Source organism: Homo sapiens, chromosome 8 (genome assembly GCF_000001405.40).
Source record: "Homo sapiens chromosome 8, GRCh38.p14 Primary Assembly".
Classification (NCBI taxonomy): domain Eukaryota; kingdom Metazoa; phylum Chordata; class Mammalia; order Primates; family Hominidae; genus Homo; species Homo sapiens.
Genome location: NC_000008.11, coordinates 33,916,247 through 33,934,727, shown reverse-complemented (window position 1 = coordinate 33,934,727; position 18,481 = coordinate 33,916,247). Strand labels below are relative to the sequence as shown.

The 18,481-nt window shown below is 37.4% G+C and overlaps 1 long non-coding RNA gene across 5 annotated transcripts in view, besides 1 other annotated feature; it reads right to left on the bottom strand.

Annotated features, from left to right (window-relative positions):
• Positions 1–18,481, bottom strand: part of LOC105379364 (uncharacterized) — a 535,736-nt gene that overhangs the window by 323,390 nt on the left and 193,865 nt on the right. The gene's annotated exons all lie outside the window — the stretch shown is intronic.
• Positions 17,973–18,474: an enhancer, noted in NCBI's record as "NANOG hESC enhancer chr8:33773772-33774273 (GRCh37/hg19 assembly coordinates)". NCBI's record gives its function as "activates a minimal SCP1, AML or CMV promoter by ChIP-STARR-seq in primed H9 embryonic stem cells {active_cell/tissue: H9 hESC(primed)}" and the evidence as "EXISTENCE:reporter gene assay evidence [ECO:0000049][PMID:30033119]".

The window sequence follows — 18,481 nt, the reverse complement described above, 5'->3', positions numbered from 1 at the left end:
CAGACCTGAAATTCCTACGCTGAAGTCCCAATCCCCATACCTCAGAATGTGATGGTATTTGAAGATAAGGCCTTTAAAGGGGTAATTAAGTTAATGTGAGCTAGTAGGGTGGGCCCTAATTCAGTATGGCTGGTGTCCTTGTAAGAAAATATCAGGACACAGGGGAGATACCAGGGGTGCACCCACACAGAGAAAAGGCCATGCTAAGACACAGCAAGAAGGTGGCCATCTGCAAGCCAAAGAGAGAAACCTCAGAAGAAGCCAACCATGCCCATAGCTTGATCTTGGACTTCCAGCCCCCAGAACAGTAAGAAAATACATTTCTGTTGTTGAAGCCACTCAGACTGTGGTATTTTATTTTTATGGTAGCCCCAGAAAACTGATATTCTCTTCATAGCCTCCCAACTCAGCAGAGATTTCATCACATGGTTTCTCACAGGTGTCTCTGAGGTTTTTCCATCACTGTGTTTAGTATACTGTGTGCTGATAACTTGAATTCAGCTTTCTCTTTCCTACGAGACTATGTGTTATTTGTCTTTGATTTCCCAATGCACCGTGCATGCCTAGCTCACAGTAAGAACTCAATTTGTACAATGAAGAATAATGATACCTTGGAGAATTACTAAGTATGGCTACATGATCTTGTGAATTCTAATTGATGCAATAGGGTTATCTGTGATGATAAAAATTTACAGCACTGCAAACTACCTTTGAGATTGAGAGGTCAATGAATCTTTGCCTGTGTTGGATCATGTTTAAAAGACCAGAAAGAAATTCAGATAATCTTTAAATCTTTATTAGTGATGTGACCTTGAACAGGTCTCTAAAACTTTTTCAGCCACAGTTTTCTCATAGGTAAAATAGGGATTAAACAGCATCTACCTCTCAGGTGAATGTAGGAAGGACTGAGCAAGATAATTTTGCCAGTACTTTAGTGCTGCTTCCTGCATATCAGTAACATTTATGGAGTATTTGTTTTTTAAAACTGTTCTTTTAGAAGAAAATAATTCACTAAAATCCAAGTTATCTCACATCATGTCTTGTCTGACAGACTATGAGTTTCACAGGGTCAGAAATTTATCTATTTCTCACCTTCCAACTTCCTCCCTGCTCCTCTCAGGAAACATCACTTCCACATTCTCCATGCCCTTTTTATTTTTCTCTCCCCTGTCCTTTGGACTATATTGTATTGTTCTCCCAATTTCCCAAGTTTTTTCCTTTTTATTTACACAAGAAAAATAACTTTTTAATTATTTACTACAATTTAGAAGAGATATTTTAATTCTAAAGTAACATAGGTAATTCCTCTGCCCAAGGCTGATTTGGTTTCCATTACTAATTGTGAGGCTAAGATAACTGTTAGCCCAATGGAAATAATTAAGATAATGTACTAGAAAACATATCAAGCTAAGAGTTAAGAGCTGGTCATATATACTTGGCTCTTTCACTAAATGATTCTATAACTGGACAATTGACGTTACCTCTTTGGGCCCCAGTTTCCTTATTTGCAAATAGCATGGTGGGTTTTTTTGTGAAAAGGAACATTTTTAAAAATTTTTAAATGTTCCTTTTTGCTGGATCATATGGTAGCTGTATTTTTAGTATTTTGGGGGTTCTTCTAGATACTAAAAATAGAGCTATCATATGATCCGGCAATCCCACTGCTAGGTATATAACCAAAAGAAAGGAAATCAGTACATTGATTTCAGTATGAAATCAGTAAAAATCTGCACTCCAATGTTTATTGCAGCACTACTCACAATAGCCAAGATTTGAAAGCAACATAAGTGTTCATAGACAGATGAATAGGTAAAGAAAATGTGGTACACATATATGATGGAGTATATTCAGCCATAAAAAGAATGATATCCTGTTATTTGCAACAACATGGATGAAACTGAAGGTCATATGTTAAGTGAAATAAGCCAGATACAGAAAGACAAACCTCACATGTTCTTGCTTATTTGTGGGAGCTAAAAATTAAAACAATTGCATTCATGAAGATAGAGAGTAGAAGGATGGTTACCAGAGGCTGGGAAGGGTTGGGGGGAGTGAAGTGTGGATGGTTAATGGATACAAAAATATAATTAGATAAAATAAGTATGATCTAGTATTTGCACAACAGGATGACTACAGTCAACAATAATTTATTGTACATTTTAAAATAACTAAAAGAATATAATTGGATTGTGAAACAAAGAAAGGATAAATGCTTGAGGTGATAGATACTCTATTTATCCTGATGTGATTATTATACACTCTATGCCTGTATCAAAATAGTTTATGTATCCCACAAACATATACCCCTACTGTGTACAAAAATTAAAAACATATATATATGTATGTGTGTGTGTGTGTGTGTGTGTGTGTGTGTGCATGTGTGTGTGTATTTTCTTAATACCTTGGAATCAAGTTAGGATCCTAAAGAGTTAATGGGTGGGGAAAAAGATGAGACTAGGAACAACAAGGTGCTTGTATGGCTCCTGATGACAGGGCCAAAAAAAGGGTGGGTGATAGAAATTGAATAGAAGAAGAACAGAAGGAAACGTAAGTGCTTTTAGAGTTACTAGATAAGGCTTCACAGGGTTACAAATTTAATCTACTTTCATATCCTAATGTATAGCTAGTGCTCACCTGTGCAGGTTAGAATCACAGAACTGGGAAATACCTTCAAGACAGTTTATTGCAATTCAGGATTCCAAACGAAAGAATAGGAAGGAAATATACTGAATCAGGAATGCTCAAGTCCCTCTATATTATCAGGGCCATTAATTCTACGTATGTCTGTGCAATCATCAACTTCACATTTATAGGCTCATACAATCATTGAGTCTTACTCATAATGATTACCACCTTTGTACTTTTCTCACTAATCAAGTGGCCAGTTCTAAAGAAACTGCCTTTTCTCTCTTTCTTTCTTTTTTTTTTTTTTAGGAATTAACATCACAAGCAGAAACTAACAACTCTTTAAGAACTCAGAATTTTGCAGCAAAAAGCTAAAAGCCTGAAGTCTTAGACAAAAAAGAATGTAAATTACAAAAATCATTATGAAGAACTTGTATATGAGCATGAAATTTCACACTTTGTCAGGCTAGTTTCAGGAATAAAGCATCCTGGCAACTACTGTTTATTCCACTGAAAAAACTAAAAAAAATTGCAATAAACCAGTGTAAATAACTTCCCTTTTTCTCTACAATTTCATGGACTCTGGAGAACTAAGATACACTGAAAGAGGTAGCAGTGAACAAAAAAAATTTCAAAAACACAACCCTGCTGTGTTTGAAATCCCTGTGATACCAAACTTATAACTATACATTCTAGTTTAGTAGAAAAGAAAACTTTAGAAAAATTAAGAGTAAACATTGCAAAATAATTCACATAAAACTAAGATCCCAAGAGGGGAACCATACAAAATTCTGTCTTATCCATATTTTTAATTGCGGGAGAAAATATATCTGTGTGCCTCCTTTTCAGGAAATAGGAGAATATATAATAATAAAATTTTGTGGCCAGCCACAGTGGCTCATGCCTGTAATCCCATCACTTTGGGAGGCTGGGGTGGGAGGATTACTTGACATCCAGAGTTCAAGACCAGTTTAGGCAACATAGCAAGACCCCATCTCTACAAAAGTAAAGATAAGAAAAATCAGCCAGGCATGGAAGTGTGCACCTGTGGTCCTAGCTACTCAGGAGGCTGAGGCAGGAGAATCCCTTGAGCCCAAGAGTTTGAGGCTGCAGTAAGCTGTGATTGCACCACTGCACTCCAGCCTGGGCAAAAGAGTAAGACTCTGATCTCTTAAAATGGAAAATTTTTTAAAAAGAAAATTTTGTATTTATTCACTTATTCCTCCATTCATTCATTCAATACATAACTAGTACCTGCTCTGTATCAGACACTGTACTAGATGTCAGAGATTTAATGGTGGACAAAATAGAAAGAAGCAAACCCTTTGGGCATTTAAAGTAAAACTGTACAATTAAAGGATCATCTACTACTGTAACAGCTAAGAAGGAGAGGCTCATGGTGCTCTGATAACTCATACTGGTTAATGTGACCTAATTAGCAGGATAGGAAGGGTGTTCTTGAGGAAGCTGTAGGCCAAAGAGAGAACAGCTTTCACCTGGATGAAGAGGGAAGAAGGGAGTTTTTGAGGAGGAGAGCATACAAAGACCTCGTGATGGAAGGGAGACAGTGAGTGCAGAGCCTGGGTAAACCATCCCCTAGTGACCACTGCCCATGGCATGAGGCCAGCCAAAGAACAAAGAAAGAGACCTAGAAGGAGTGTTTGGGTGATTTTCCAGCCCTGGCTTGGAGGCAACATTACATCATCATGGCCTGAGTGCAACTGAACAGAACCCAGTCACTGGGTCTCATCTGACTGCAAAGTAGACTGCAAAATGTACTCCAACTCTCACTGGAAACAAGAAGACTAAGGATCTGACAGGAGATAACTTACTCACTTGGATTTATTCCCTTTGGGATGGTGAAGGAGAGGGACTAGACAGTCACTAGAGAGGGATGACAGTTTAGTTGAATAACAAGGACCTCAAAGGAGTGAGATTTGTATAACAGGGTATATAAGGAGCGGTTTGAGAGTGTTAACATGAAAAGAGGAGGGTATCCTTGAAAAGTAAACTCTTACAAACACAAACTCATCTCAGAAGTTTTGAGACTGCCTATTGTCTGTGTGGAGGTAATATCATAAACCTAAAGCCTGGGTTCTCACGTGTAACATTCCTGGGTCCAAATCCCTACTTTGCCTCTTACTAATTTATTAACTATGTCACATTGGATGAGTAATTTAACCTTTATGTGACTCAGTTTTCTCATCAATAAAGTGGGATTAATTACCATTCTGCCTCTTAAAGTTGTTGGTAGACTTCAATGAGATTGGGAGTAAGTGTAATGACAGCGCCTAGCATATAGTAGATGCCTGGTAAATGTTTGCTATTATTAACTACATTACTACTGAAGATTGCTTTATATTTTGATAATAATAGACATAAATTTGTCTTACTCTAAGTAGAAATTTCTACTAATGAGAAAATCCCATTCCAAGAGTATTTTAGGTAACTGGAGTTTTTGTGTATACTTTGTGACTCAAAGTAACCCTTTTCTGATGTACCCTCCTTCAGAGAAAATAATAGTATGCTACGACAAAATGCCGTCCCTAGGATACTCTGAGAATAAGGAGGAGCTAGTCACAGAGGAGGCAAAATGGAAATGAGCCGAGAGCAGTGCAAAGCCCAGGCAATTTTATTTATACAAGAGAGACATTTACTGCTCCTGTGAAAGCATTTCCAAGTGCTGGGGCAAAATTCCATTCTCATTCCTGAGAAGCACCAATATCCTTGGGAGAATTAGTTTCTAGGAATCAGCTGGGATACAGCTTCAAAAGCCCAGGGCAACAATGTCAGAGTCAGGTTAGAGTCCTTAGCCAGGGTGTATTAGTCTGTTCTCACACTGCTAATGAAGACAGACCTGAGACTGGGTATCTTAAAAAGCAAAGAGGTTTGACTCACAGTTCAGTATGGCTGGGGAGGCCTCACCAAACTTACATTCATGGCAGAAAGGGAAGCAAACAACCTTCTTTACATGGTGGCATCAAGGGGAAGTGCCCAGCAAAAGGGGGCAAATCCCCTTATAAAACTATCAAATCTCATGAGAATTCACTTACTATCACAAGAACAGCACAGAAGTACTTGCCCCCATGATTCAATTACCTCCCACTGGTTCCCTCCTATGACATGTGGGGATTATGGGAACTACAGTTCAAGATGAGATTTGGGTGGGGACACAGCCAAACCATATCACAGCGAGAGCAACTTGAATGAAAAGGAAGTTGACCAGGAAAGTGCTGCAATGGGAACGGACCATCAGGAGGCCTGGAGCAACGGCCTAACTCACTTGGGAGAAGGAAGCTGGAAATGAAGAGTGGTGAGCAAGACCACCCTGGGAATTCCAAAAGGTAATGCCACCACACAAGAGTGCCTATTATCCCCCAAGACAACCTTTGAATTTTTAGGTGAAGCTCTGTGTGTCCAGCAACAGCTTGCTATGGTCTGAATGTTTGTGTCCTCCCAAAAATCACATGTTGAAACCTAATCCCCACTGTGAAAGCATTGGGAGGTGAGGACTTAGGGAGGTGATTAGGTCATGAGGGCCTGCCCTCATGAATGGGTCTAGTGCCCTTATAAAAGAGACCCCAGAGTATTGCCTTGCCCCTTCCACCATGTGAGAATGCAGTGAACAGATGTCTACCAACTAAGAAGCAGGCCCTCACCAGAAACTGAATCTGCTGGCTCCATGAATCTTGGACTTCTCAGTCTCCAGAACCATGAGAAACACATTTCCATTGCTTATAAGCCACACAGTTTATGGTATTTTATTATAGCAGACCAAACAGACTAAGACACAGCTAAATGGTAACCAGGGATAATCGCCATAGGTAGGTGAACTTTCATGTGCAGGTTTGTTACATAGGTATTCATGTGCTATGGTGGTTTGCTGCACCTATCAACCCGCCCTCTAGATTTTAAGCCCCGCATGTATTAGGTATTTATCCTAATGCTTTCCCTCACCTTTCCCCCCACCCCCTAGCAGGGCCCAGTGTGTGATGTTCCCCTCCTGTGTCCATGTCTTCTCATTGTCCAACTCCCACTTATGAAGTGAGAACATGCAGTGTTTGGTTTTCTGTTCCTGTGTTAGTTTTCTGAGGATGATGGTTTCCAGCTTCATCCATATCCCTGCAAAGAACATGAACTCATTCCTTTCTATGGCTGCATAGTATTCCATGGAGTATATGTGCCACATTTTCTTTATCCAGTCTATCATTGATGGGCATTTGGGTTGGTTCCAAGTCTTTGCTATTATAAATAGTGCTGCAATAAACATACGTGTGCATGTGGAAAAGAAACTTTTTTTAAAAGGGAAACACATCAGAACATCGGCACCTAAAGGAATTTTTTTCTCTTCAAAGTGGTGATTATGAATGTATTTATTCTAGAAACGTTGTCATTGCTTAAAAATTTTTTGCTTTAAAATTGGGTTGAGAGCAGTAGGCCCATTTCTTCAAAATTTCTTAAAGGTTGAAAGCTTCCTATAGTGGCAATTGGTGCTTGGAAGCAATCACAGGGCATGATGATGAATAACTTTTGTCCAAGGTGAGTAGTCAGAAGCAAGATGCACTATAATTGAAAAAGATTAATTTTTTTGGAGTTCATGAAATGATGACAAATGATAAGGAGAAAAGTTGTGTCTTAATAAGTTTAAACACATTAGACATGGAAGTATTCGGGAGGAAAATAAGGCCTCCTGGGCCCCCCTGAAACATACCATAATAATGTTGCAGGATATTGGGTCCTCCACAGCGAGAAGCAAAATCTTTCATTTTTAAATGCTTCATGCCCACCATGGTGATTGGCATATAGTAATCACTCAATAAACTTTTTTTTTTAATCAGAGACAGGGTCTCACTATGTTGCCCAGGCTTACCTCAAACTCCTGGGCTCAAGCGAACCTCCTGAATCTCATCTGAATAGCTTGGACTGCAGGCCTGCACCACCACACCCAACTTCAATAAGCTTTTGAAGAATGAGAATAAAACAGATCACTTCCATTATAATTATGCCTTCAAATATATGAAAGTAATGCAACTAGAATTTCCCATATTACTATCTCATGATGTCATTTGTTTGCCATTTCTATAATCTCCTTAATGGACTTGAATTCCCAATCTCATAATTTAGAAATTGTCATAATTTTAAAATACAAAAGTGCAAAAATAATGTAACAATCATCAATGGATTTACCACTGAGATTTAACAAATTTTACTGCCTAGACATTTTTTAGGACTCTAACACAAAAAATTATGCTTGGTATTCATTAACATTGTAGTAGGCAGAACAAGAAAAAGATATCGAACATGCACTTAGAAAATAATGTCTTTCCCCTTTCTGGTTGCCTCTGTATCTTTCTTCTTTATTTTTATCTTTTTTTTTCTATTTGTATTTTCCCCACTGACTATTCAAATTACACCTTTAAAACTTTGCTTTGACTTTGTGCCTCTACCTGGCTCTTGAAAAGAGTTTTGTAACTTGGTGTTAATGGCATATTTTGGACTATAATCTCCATTTCACCTATTTGGAGTACATTTTTCTTCCAAATTTCTTTTCCTTTCCATTTGGCCCAAGATGCAAATAATAATAATTTCCTCTAAACTCTCACCTTAGTAACTCCTTATACATTCCGTATTACTTCCAGCTCTGTCCCTCAAACTGGACCCTTTAGAATAACAACAACAAAAAGCCTCTCATTTTAAGCGAGAAGCAAGCCACTGTGGTATGTTATTTTATTATATTTAGGCACTATGTTTATCATGTTCCAATGTTCCATGCTTCTTGGCATCAAAGAACATTGCTTTATTGTGACATTTTCAAATGAAAACTACATGACAGTAACAGTTTCCAAAGAACTCTCATTTACCTTGGCAACATTTACGAGTGGCGAGGAAAAAATACATAAAACCACCGCTTTGAGCAAAACGCTACAATGATTATTTAGCAAACAAGCTCACATATTAGAACAGTAGAGGGGAAGATTGCTTCTACAGACTAAATTGCACTTTATACACAGGCACTGCTGAATGGCTTTCTACAGAGGTTACGTTTAAATTATAGCTCTTGCTAAGCAAACATCTCACCGTTTGTGTGTGAATTTGAATTATGCATCTAACAGGCAGCATGTTTATGGAAAAAAGTCAAGTCGATAGATTGCTAAACTGCTACAACATTTGCAAGGGACAAAAATAGCCATATGGGACAGCTCTTTTGTGTCGGACAATGAAGAAGCTTTGAGAGAGGTCCCACTTCCTCTCCAGTAAGAAAATGGTTTGGCAATTCGGAACTACATGAGTGATCAACCTTTGGCTTCATTCAGAGGCATCCAAAAATTGCTTTAGTGCTTTCACTTTAGAAATATAATTTGATTCCTTATGCTTAGACATTCTGAGTTTGAATAAGTACATTGTCTAGCTTACAATTATATTTTAATTCCTAGAAATAAGGCAAATACATATGAATTGTCCTAATTCAGGAAAAATACACTGGTAGGCAGTCAGAACAGCCAAGTCATGTGAAAGGACAACACTGGGGAAGAAACCTAAATAAAGAGCAGTCAACTTTTTCAGAACATTCCTAGGTCCCAAGTATAGTCTGGAGCACAACTGACTACGCTGCAGCACAATGTGTCTCATTTGCATCTGTTTGAGCACATCCTTCCTAAAGGTGAGAGGAGGAACAAAATGGCTTTCAGGTTCCCATACAACTCTAACATTGTAGGATTCAATTTCTGGTACATTACATATTTGTCTATCAATAGCCCTTGGGAATTTTATGATCGCTCATGTCTTAAAATTTACAGCATTTCGGCATGTTGCAAATACAAGTTGAGTTTCAGCTGCAATAAGCACAGGTCTCCCATGGAGGAGCAGGGTCACAGCAGAGGCCAAATGCACTCAGAGCAAACATTTCCCATAGTCTCCAACCCTTCTTTGGCAAAGAAGGTGAGGAAGAAAAAAGTGCTGGCCAACATTCTATACAAGCCAACAAAGAGCCCAGAAGAGGCCAGGTATGGTAGCTCATGCCTGTCATCCCAGCATTTTGGGAGGCTGAGGCAGGAGGGTAGCTTGAGGCCAGGAGTGAGGCAGGAGGGTCGCTTGAGGCCAGGAGTTTGAGACCAACTGAGGCAGCATAGTGAGAACCCCAACTCTAGAGAAAAAAAAAAGAAAGAAAGAAAAGAAAACTTAGCTAGGCGTAGTGGCTCACACTTGTAATCCCAGCTACCTAGGAGGCTGAGGCAAGAGGAACACTTGAGCCTAGGAGGTAAAGAATGTAATGAGCTACAATCACACCACTGCACATCCCAGCCTGGATGACAAAGTGACACCCTGTCTCTTTAAAAAAAAAAAAAAAAAAAAAAGGAATTAAAAATGAGCTCAGAAAAACATAACTGGGAAAAACCAAACTCTACATTACCTGCCCTTTGATGATGTAGAAAATCCAGCTGTGTACAACTACACCACCATATACATGTATACGAGTGCAGGGTGTTAAGTTTACAAAGTGGTCTGTATGATCCCATTTATATAACATTTTTCAAATTACAATATCATAGAGATGGAGAACTTATGAGTGGTGTTCCAAAGATCTGTGGGGGTAGGGCAAAGGAGAGGGAAGAAGGTATCTACAACTATAAAAAGATCCTTGTGGTGATGGAATTGTTCTATGTCCTGAGTGTAGTAGTGGGCACATAAATCTACATGTGTAATAAAATTGTATAGAATTTCTTGCGCAAATTGTGACCCCCAAAGAGATATGTTGATGTTCTAACCCCCAGTACCTTAGAATGTGACCTTATCTAGAAATAGCGCTGCTGCAGATGTAATTAGTTAAGAGGAAGCCAGACTGGAATAGTGTGAGCCCTAATCCAATATGACTGGTGTCTTTATAAGAAGGAGGAAATTGGGGCACACACACAAAGAAGAAAGATGACATGAAAACACACAGGGAGAAGAGGGTCATGTGATGACAGAGGCAGAGATCAGAGCTATGTTGCCACAAGCCAAGAAACACCTGGAAGCTAGAAGAGGAAAGGATGGGTCATCTTCTGGAGGCTCTGGAGAAGACATGGCCCCACCAGCACCTTGAGTTTAGACTTCTAGTCTTCAGAACTAGAGAGAATATGTGTCTATTGTTTTAAGCTACCCAGTTTGTTGTACTTCACTACAGCAACCCTGAGAAATTAAAACAGAAGTAAATACACACGTGTGCACAAATAAATGCATGCAAAACTGGCAAACTCTGAATAAGGTGAGATGTGTATCAATGTCAATTTCCTGGTTGTGATATTGTACTTTAGTTCCACAAGAATTATCACTGGAGGAAACTGGGTGAAGATACAGAGGATACCTCTGTATTATTTCTTACAACTGCATGTGAATCTACAATTATTTCAAAATAAGAATTATAAAAGAGCAGTCTACTTTCAAGTACATTAGCTCCTCAATATATCCTTGGGAAGTAGGTCAGGAAGCCTCATCCACTCCAGTTTTAAAACAAGAAAATTGGAGCACCAAGAAATTAAATTTCCAAAATTTATAAGAATACTGAAAAATTCAGTTCTTGAATCTACGACTTCCATCTTGTTTTGCTATGCTATGATTTCCATATGCATAATTCAGTAGTTTAAATTCACTCAGGATAACAAAGGCTTTCAATTGAGAAGAGGGCATTTCACAAGGTCAAAGAATCAATAATGACTGTAGAAGAAGACAAAGGAAAAAGAGGAAAACAGGTGGCCAGGTGCATTGGCTCATGCATGTAATCCCAGCACTTTGGGAGGCTGAGGTGGGTGGATCACGAGGTCAGTAGATTGAGACCATCCTGGCTAACACGGTGAAACCCCGTCTCTACTAAAAAGACAAAAAATTAGCCAGGCGTGGTGGCGGGCTCCTGTAGTCCCAGCTACTCGGGAGGCTGAGGCAGGAATGATGTGAACCTGGGAGGCGGAGCTTGCAGTGAGCTGAGATCATGCCACTGCACTCCAGCCTGGGCAACAGAGCAAGACTCCACCTCAAAAAAAAAAAAAAAAAAAAAAAGAGGGAAACAGGTGTAACCACCCTGCCTCTTTTCCCAGGGAAAGAAAAAGGACATCTGGTACTTTCTATGTGTATTCAAAAGTACAAATACTGAGGAGTAAGCTGTTCATTGGGAGGGGGCATCAAATCCCATCTGGCCAATTTCCTTTTGCAGCAAGAAATAGGGAAGAGTTGAATGCCAAGGGCATAATTCATACGAAGATCCCTTAGAAAACCACAGCCAGATTAAGACAGGAAGCAAGAAAGATATGAGAGATGAAAAGCAAAGCATCTAGAGCTTATTCACCACCAAACCCTAGAGTGTTACCCATGCTCAGATGAGCTATCACTTCTTAATTGCATTCAAAAGTGTCAGAAATAGGGAGCTATTTACTAGCCTTATTATCTGTGCTAGGCAACTATTGTCCAAATCTCTCGGGGAGTCTGGTTGGTTTATATGAAGTGTGGAAAACACAGAAAACTTCAGCAGCTGGACCATATTTATCTGGAAATAAATGACTCAAGGGATGAAGACACACCCATTTCTTGCCTGGGCCAGAAAATGGGCAGAAATGCACCAAATTATGTTTAGATTCATGTGTAGATCAGAAACAATAAGCAGAAGACAATAGTGATTCTTGTTACCCTGAATTAACATAGATCTTATTATACCCAAGAAGTGTTACAGATTTGGAAAGCCCAAATTAGACATCTCAGGGCAAAGAGATCTTAAAAAAAGGAGATGGTAAAACATTTCTCCTCAGGTGGATAAGGAACAACAAGAATAAAAGTCCTCATAAATCAGAGTTTGAGAAAACCTTTTTGAGGCCCTGGGTTTCCATAGCCATTATTCAGTCACTGTTTTTGAAGAAGGGGTTTCACTTGTTGACAATCCAGTTTTGCTGGTCAGGCTTCTAATCCAGACAGAGCAGAGAAGGTGTTTGTATTAGTCTGTTCTGACACTGATGATAAAGACATACCCAAGACTGGGTAATTTATAAAGGAAAGAGGTTTTATGGACTTACAATTCCACATGGCTGGGGAGGCCTCACAATCATGGTGGAAGGCCCTTGCTCCTTAGGAGCAAGTCACATATTACATGGTGGCAGGCAAAGAGAGAACATGTGCAGGGGAACTCCTCTTTATAAAACCATCAGATCTCATGAGACTTATTCACTATAATGAGAACAGCATGGGAAAGACCCACCCCCATGATTCAATTACCTCCCACAACATGTGAGAATTGTGGGAGCTACAGTTCAAGATGAGATTTGGGTGGGGACACAGCCAAACCATATCAGTGTTGAAATGCAGTCCACAAATACTGAGCTGGCAGAGGAAATCCAAAACAGAATCCTAGGAACATTTGTTTTCTGCCTTTTAGGAAGTCTCTTTATTTTCCTATAATTGTATCTGATGAGAGGAAATACAGAAGTAGATGGAGCAGAAGACAATCTGAATCTTTGCAGCCTTATTGTTTATTGACTCATAGGCCACCTGCCCTGAGACAAATATAATTATGGAGCAATTCTCCTATGTTCCACAGAAGAAAAAAAAAAAATAAAAGATCCAGGGGTTATATTATGTCCTGCTGTTTAAGTTTACAAAGACAGTGTAAATTCAGATAGTAATAGCTGTGGCATCAAGAAAGTAGTTGGACAATTAGAAGATGTGTTTCACGGAAAATTCAATGGTTATTTTGCCTTATTCACTAGTATTCTCAAAACTTCATAGGCAAGTGAATCACCTGGAGAGCCTGTTAAAATGCTGATTTTGATTCAGAAGGTACGGAGTAGGGCCTGAAATTTTGCATTTCTAATAAACTCCAAGAAGCTGCTGATGCTGCTGATTCTCAGTCTGTTCTTTGTGTACCAAGATTCTAGTCCCTGGTATCTGGGATACACTTCAAGTATACAGCTGCTGCTTTCAAGAGGGCTGTGCGAGTGTGTTTTCTTTCTCAGCTGCAACCCTGTGCCTCCCCAATTTTACTCTGAACGTGAAACACACAAAAGCTGGAAAAATAATATGATGAATCTGTATTCATACCAACTACAGTCAAGAACTATTAATGTTTTACCATGTCTACACCTCACACCTCTCTATCCCCTCTCTATACCCACAAACCTCCTCTCTCTTTCTCTGTCCCTCCTGCCTCTCCCCAACCTTCACCCCTCCTTTCCTCTTCTCCCCATCTCTTCCTCTCCCACTTCCTCTGACCCCCTCCCTCTCTCTGTTTCCACTTCTTTCTCTCTCTCTCTCTCTCTCTCTATATATATATATATTTTCTCCAGCCACATGAAGTTGCAGACATTATGATACTTTACTCATAAATATTCCATCATGCATCTCCTAAGAATAGCTTCAATGCAATTATTACACTTCAGAAAATAAACAATAATTCCAATTCCATAATATTGACTAATAGCCAGTCCATTTTTAAATGCCTCCAATTGCACCCAAAATGTCTTTTATAGCTATTTAAAAAGAAAAAACGATCCAGTAAGGTTCAGGCATTGCCTTGGTTATCAGATTATCATAGAACAGTCAGTACCTCAATCTTCCCTTTTTTTAAACTTTTTCATTGATTTTTTTGAAAAGTTGAAACCCATTGTCTTTCAGGATGTCTCATAGCCTGTATTTGTCTAATTGTTTTCTCATGGTGTTATTAAATTTTGCCTTTAATTAAAAATTATGTTTGGACCCTTGAACAGATTCAGGTTACACATTTTTGGCAAGTGCATCTCACAAGGGTGGAATATGCATTGCATAAGATCAAGAAGCTCACACAGTCAGAGCATCCCACTATGAGTGATGGTAGCTTTGTTTATTTGGTTACAGTAATAACCACTAGCTCTCTGTATTGTAAAAGTGCATTTTTTCCTTTGCTATACTATAGTCAGTGATTAATCTGTGTGGTGACACTTCAGCCATTTGTGAATATTCCCACTTCCAAACAACATTTTGTCTAATGGCTTTAGCATTGATTGCTGAGGCTCACCTGAATCAGTGAATCATTTATTGGGAATTGAAAAATGGCGATTTTCTAATTCTATTATAACTTCTACATTTATTAACTAACATTCCTTTGTAATTGAGTCAGAACCACCCCTCTCCCTTTCCTTACCCCATTCCATCGTAATCAACTCATGACATATTGTTCATTTCATGTATCATAATCAATTATAATCTTTATTTATGTTCATATCATCGCAAATGTACTCAGTGAGAGGTCCTTCAAGCTGACTTTTGTGTCCCTTAGACATAATCTCATTAGCGTTTGAGCACTTCCTTATTTGGTAGCACAAGAAGAAGTCCTGGGACCGTGTTTTTCTTTCCCAGCTCAGATGTGAAATCAGCCATTTCTCCAAGGAGCCCTGGTTGCTTTTAATGAAGAATGACATTTAGAACCCAAATCTAGACGTTTGGTGTGCTCAATGCTACTCAAAGGTCATTGTTCCCAGGCATGTTCAATGGCAAAGGTTGGAAATGTGGGGTTTTTTAAATACAATTTTATATTGATATTTCTAACTTGAATTCAGGTTACAGGGTTTTTTAATTTTACATTTTATTCTCCTATAAAAACCTCAATATAATTATGTATTTACTTTAGCCTACAATATAAAAATGAAAAATAGCCTCCAAGTTACAATTGTTACTGCTAACAATAAACTCCAGTGTAAAATTTAAGATTTCTTGGCAGTCCTTTTGTACTTTAAAATGTGCTCTACTAAAGGTATACAAAGGAGTGAATTCAGAAGTTACTTGAAATAATTCTTTCCCCTTTATCATTTTGATATAGATGTTTCTTCTATTTATGTTTGATTTTAGTTAAGTTTTTGAATATATAAAACACACATGGTTCAAAAGTCAAAACTGATTCTCCAGAAAGCTCAGCCAATTTTCAGCCCCTCTACCACATCCCTTCAACTCCCTATTGGTAACCATTTCATTAGTTGCTAATTTATCCTTGCTATGTTTCTTTTGGTGGAAAATGACCAAATCTATATATTTATTCATATTTCCTCTCCTTTATTACACAAAAAGCAGCATAACATATGCTTCACTCTATAACTTGGTTTTCTCCCTTAATAATAAATCTTCACCCAAGCATGGTGGCTTACACCTATAATCCCAGCACTTTGGGAAGCCAAAGGAGGACGATCACTTGAACCCGGAGTTTGAATCCAGCTTGGGCAACATAGTGAGATCCCATTTCAATTAAAAAATTTTAAAAATTAGCCAGGTGTGGTGGTGCACAACTGTAGTCCCAGCTACTCGGGAGGCTGAAGCAGAAGGATTGCTTGAGCACAAGAGTTGAAGCCTGCAGTAAGCTATGACCACACCACAGCACTCCAGCCTGGGCAACAGAGGAAGACTTCGTGTCCCAAAAATTAAAACAAAATAAAAAGAATGAAATGAAAAAATGTATGTTTATATGTATATAAAATAAATATTTTATATATATTTATATTATATATTATATAACATATATTTCACATATTATATTTATTATTTATCTTTATAAAGTAATGTATTTATAAATCATAATATATCTATTATATATTTATATTAATATATAATAGATATATTATATATAATAATTTATGTATTATATAATTTCATATAATTATACAATATATAATTATATAGTATATTTATAAATTAATATATTAATTTATATTTATATATTTATATTATATGATACATATATATATATCTCTCTCTCCTAGAAATCACTAGCCATGAGCTCATGAGATCCTCCTCATTTTCATTTTAACAGCTGCATAGCACTCTTTTGGCCATATAATAGAGTTTATTCAAACAGCCCTCTATTCATGGAGGTTTGTGTTGTTTCTAATCTTTTGCTATTACAAATAATGCTGTAGTAAATAATTTTCTGCATGTGTTCTTTATATTTTTTGGGAGTAGTCTCAGGATAGACTGGTAGACCCATGGATCAAAGAATAAATACATATGCAATGTTGTTAGATATTGCTAAATCCCCCACCACAGGAGTTGTACTTTACCTTTTGAGATTATCACCTGCCATGTAGCAGTGCCTGTTTCTCCATAGTCTTGTCAACACACTGTTTTGTAAGTGTTTGAATTGTTTAAAGTATCTTAGATGAGCAGTGGTATCTCAGCAGAATTTCTATTTGCATTACTTTTATGAACGAGGTTAAAATCTTTTCATATTTTTAAATGATATTTGCCTTGCTTTATCTGTAAAATGTCGGTTTATGTCTTTTGACTTTTTAAAAATCACAGTTTCAGTCTTTTTTTTAGTTAATATTGCTATATGGATGTCAAACAATGTAGATTTTATGACAAAAAATTACCAGAAATAATAAAGAGATATTTCTTAATGGTATGTGATCCATTTTACCTTGGAAAAATTTGACAATTCTGAATTTGCATTCATAACCTAAAAATACATAAAGTAAAAAAAATAAGTAAAGTAGACAAACCCATAATCTGAGTGAGAGATGTTAACACACCTCTCTTGTAAGTGATTAAGAAGAAAAAAGTCACTGAAAGTAGAAAAGGTTTAAATGATAGTATTGATACACATGATTTGATTGATACATACAAAGCACTGTATCCAGACCATTGTTGATACGTATTCTTACATGAAGTGGAAAAAAAAGTCCCAAAAGATTACATACAACATGATACTCTTCTCATAAAGTATACAACTACTAAAGTTAAAATATGTAATTTTAGGTTTACATATAGATGCAATAAGACTATATAAAAAGGAAAGATAGATCTGGAACTCAAGATAATGTTTACATCAACAGCAAGAGGGAGAAAGAAAAATAGCATAGGAGTCCATATGATTAAATGAAGATAATGTCACAGTTCTACATTTTGTTTTGAATAGTAGTTTTATGTGTTCTTTTCACATTAAATAAGTCATCAACAAAGAAATATGAGTTGATGGTATGTCGTGAACCAAAAACTGCAACTAATTCACTTCTGTGCATCTGAAATCTAGAGAAAACAAACAGAAAATTAAAAAATAAACTTTCAACTCACAAAAGTTAATAAAAGAACAATATCCAAAGAAAGGAGAGGAAGAAAGATTAATAAAGATAAAAATAGACATTAGCAAAATAAAATAATAACAAAATGAAAACAAGTGAAAGGATCAACGGGAAAGAAAACATATTCTTGGAAAGATCAATAACAGAGATAATCCTTTGGAGAATACGATCAAGAAAATAAGAAAGGAGGTAAATAATGTGCCAGGATATATACTAAATGTGCAATAAATTAGAATTTGACTTACAAAAATGCTATTCAAACTTTCTACTCTACCAAGCACTATACTACCATAGAAAGCAAAAAAAGAAAAAAGGTAGATATTTTTCTGAAATCAATAATTATAATTTTAGCTCCACTGGTTAATATCCATTTTTAATTGATTTCCAAACACTTTGCTTACCTTTATATGCATAGTGTTCTTTATGCCTTGGTTTTTAAATCAACTAGACTCAAATCAGCAGTAACCTGAAAGACCACATGTACAAATGGAGTCCCCATGCATTTGGTTTGCATTCAGAGGGAATGAGGGGAAGAAGTTTTGTGACTTACCTGAGGAATTCCAAGTATTCCTTGTCACGACATTTCCTTTTTCTTGTTTACAATGCAAGCAAGAAGTTAGAATCACAATTGTTTTACCTCTGCCCATTAAAACATGATATTAAAAATCATCTTAATGAATAGATATTAATATCTGACAGTGACTGCTCTGACCTCCTGTCTAACAGGCCCCATTTATGTCTTGTTTGATGAAAGTTCTCCACATCTGCAAAGCAAAAGGGCAAACTGATTTGTGAAC